At 38.2% G+C, this 3,119-nt stretch overlaps 1 annotated feature.

The window, feature by feature from the left end:
* Positions 1,080 to 1,603: an enhancer, noted in NCBI's record as "NANOG-H3K27ac-H3K4me1 hESC enhancer chr8:40930517-40931040 (GRCh37/hg19 assembly coordinates)". NCBI's record gives its function as "activates a minimal SCP1, AML or CMV promoter by ChIP-STARR-seq in primed H9 embryonic stem cells {active_cell/tissue: H9 hESC(primed)}" and the evidence as "EXISTENCE:reporter gene assay evidence [ECO:0000049][PMID:30033119]".

Genomic DNA, 3,119 nt, shown 5'->3' on the forward strand with positions numbered 1-3,119 from the left:
ACTATGTCTCAAAAAAAAAAAAAATGACAACATATTTTTGAATTATTGGTCTGCTTCTAATAAAAGGTCATAGTAGGTTTTTCTTTACTTTTTAAATAATCCATCTAGGAAACAGATTCTGTGTTTCATCAGAATAATTTGTTGTGTTATCTTTATCATCTCCTCAATTATTTAAGAGAAGTGAGTTTTCTTCCTTTTAAAAGCTAGGCTTTGGGGCTGGGTACAGTGGCTCACATCTGTAATCCCAGCACTTTGGGAGGACAAGGTGGGAGGGTTGCTTGAGGCCAGGAGTTTGAGGTTACAGTGAGTCATAATCACAATACTTCACTACAGCCTGGGCAACAGATAAAAAATAAAAATAAAAATCTAAGCTTTGTTTTTTTGTTTTTAAATCATGTTACCTTCTATAGTTACCTTTAAAATATTTTATTGTCACTTTGGTTAGATATTATTTCATGGTGACCTATGATCAAGTGTTTAAACCTTTTGACATTTTGACAACTTATGATATATTGCCTTCCCAAAACCAAATCCTAAATGAAATCTGTAATTCAAACTGACTTAGATTTCTCAGAGGCCTCCTGGAAAATCTCAAAGGATTTGTTCTTTTACCTTCTAAAAACAGGAATGTTCAAAAATCATTAGTTTTTTTGATGTGTCAAATTACATGAAAATCTTTGTTAAATAGAAGTGATAATCTTCTTTGTGTTATATTTGCATGAGAAATAATTATTAATATAAATATTTCAGGAAAGTTATAAAATACCAAGAAATATATTAAATTTTTTGCCACCCATGATAATTCTTAATGCTGCTTTGGCTGATAGTAGAAAATAATGATGTAATTTTTGACAAAAAGAGTCAAACTCTGTAAAATATTTGAAAAGATTTATTCTGAGCCAAATATGAGTGACCATGGTCCATGACACAGCCTTCAGGAGGGCCTGAGAACATGTGCCCAAGGTGGCTAGGGTGCAGCTTGGTTTCATACATTTTAGGGAGGCATGAGACATCAATCAAATACATTTAAGAAATACATTGGTTTGGTCCAGAAAGGAAGGACAACTCGAAGCAGAGGTCGGGGGAGGCCTCCAGGCTACAGGTAAATTTAAACATTTTCTGGTTGACCATTGGTTGAATTTGTCTAAAGACCTGGGATTGATAGAAAGGAAATGTTCAGGTTAAGATAAAAGTTTGTGGAGACCAAGGTTCCTTTGAAGTCTTATAGTGGCTGCCCTTAGAGGCAATAGATGACAAATGTTTCCTATTCAGATCTGAGCCATTTCACAGTGTGTATAGAATCAGGTATGACCAGTTTTATGGAACTAAGGTTGACTTATGGAGCCACTATTCATAAAGTTCTCTGGCAAATATCAGCATGGTATGTGGCTTGCCGCATTCCCAGCATTCCAAGTGAGTAAGGAAAGCCACTTCCTGGCAGGCCAAAAACCGCCCCATGGTTTTTGGTGTATGAAAAAATAAAAATAGGCCAGGCACAGTGGCTCACGCCTATAATCCCCATACTTTGGGAGGCCAAGGCAGGTGGATCACCTGAGATCAGGAGTTCAAGACCAGCCTGGCCCACGCGGCGAAACCCTGTCTCTACTAAAAATATAAAAATTAGCAGGGCATGGTGTTGGGCACCTGTAATCCCAGCTACTCAGGAGGCTGAGGCAGGAGAATCGCTTGAACCAGGGAGGCGGAGGTTGCAGTGAGCCAAAATCACGCCATTGCGCTCCAGCCTGGGTGACAAGAGTGAAACTCTGTCTCAAAAAAAAAAAAAAAAAAAAAAAAAGGAAGAAAAAGAAAAGAAAAGAAGAAGGAAAAATAAAAATAAAGAAGCTTAAGATATTTTGTGCATCTTGAAAATGGAGGAGCGGGGCGTGATTGCTCATGCCTGTTATCCCAGCACTTAGGGAAACCAAGGCGATTGTATTACCTGAGGGCAGGGGTTTGAAACCAGCCCAGTCAACGTGTTGAAACCCTGTCTCTACTAAAAATACAAAAATTAGCTGCGTGTGGTGGCATGCACCTGTAGTCTCAGCTACTCGGGAGGCGAAGGCAGGAGAATTGCTTGAACCTGGGAGGCAGGTGTTGTAGTGAGCAGAGATCAAGCCATCACACTCCAGCCTAGGTGACAGAGTGAGATTCCATCTCAAAAAAACAAACAAACAAACAAACAAATAAAAGCAAAAGAGAAATGAGAAATTCACCCAAATCTATAGGTACAGCATGTAAAGTCTAATGTTGAGTTCTTGGTTTGGCTTCATGGCCCCAATAGGCTTTTAAAATCTAATGTGAGATTCCTTATAACAGTTGCTACAAAACAAACTTTAATAGACCTATGTAGTCAATTACTATTCTTGCTGCACTTAGGTAAATAATCAGGCCACAATGAGATAAGACTTATTTTGTAAACAAGAATAATACTACTTTAATTATCTGATCAGAGAAGGAGGTGACTGTGTAGAGATTTTATGCTGCCATAGAAAACTGTAACACATTCTTATGGGTTATCAGATTCTAGTCCTGTTCGTTATTTTTAAAGTGTTATTATCTAACTGTGTATTGGACTGCACCATGCCCCTTGCATACTTTGTCAGACCTCACCAGTTCTCCATTCTTCTATCTTCCTTCAATTTCTGGTCACCACCCTCCAAATTAACATTTCCAAATGTTCTCCTACCCTCTTGACTTGGCATCACTAAATACTGGGATCTGACTACACAGATCTTTATTTGGGACCCTAGCTTTTCTTGTAGCTGCCCCTTTCCACAAAGGATCTGTAAAAGTCCTGCAAGCTGAAGCTGGTTGGCTTGATAAAAACTTCAAAGGACTCATCACAGCAGATCACATATGGGATGTCATCACCAAAGACATTCAAATTACAAACTGGAAAATCCACTGGATTGACATTGCCATTCTCATTCCACTGTCTATAAATATTGCAAACCCAATGTTTAATTTCTGGACTCAGAAATTTCATCTTTTTTTTCATTCATTCATCTTTTTCTTTTGTTTTCTCCCTCTATGTTCTTCTTTCTCTTTGACAATTGATTATCTCACAACTTCTAGCCCAAGCCTTCTGTCTACAGTAATCAGCCCAGCTTCTTGTTTGT

This window comes from Homo sapiens, chromosome 8 (assembly GCF_000001405.40).
Source record: "Homo sapiens chromosome 8, GRCh38.p14 Primary Assembly".
NCBI classification, from domain to species: domain Eukaryota; kingdom Metazoa; phylum Chordata; class Mammalia; order Primates; family Hominidae; genus Homo; species Homo sapiens.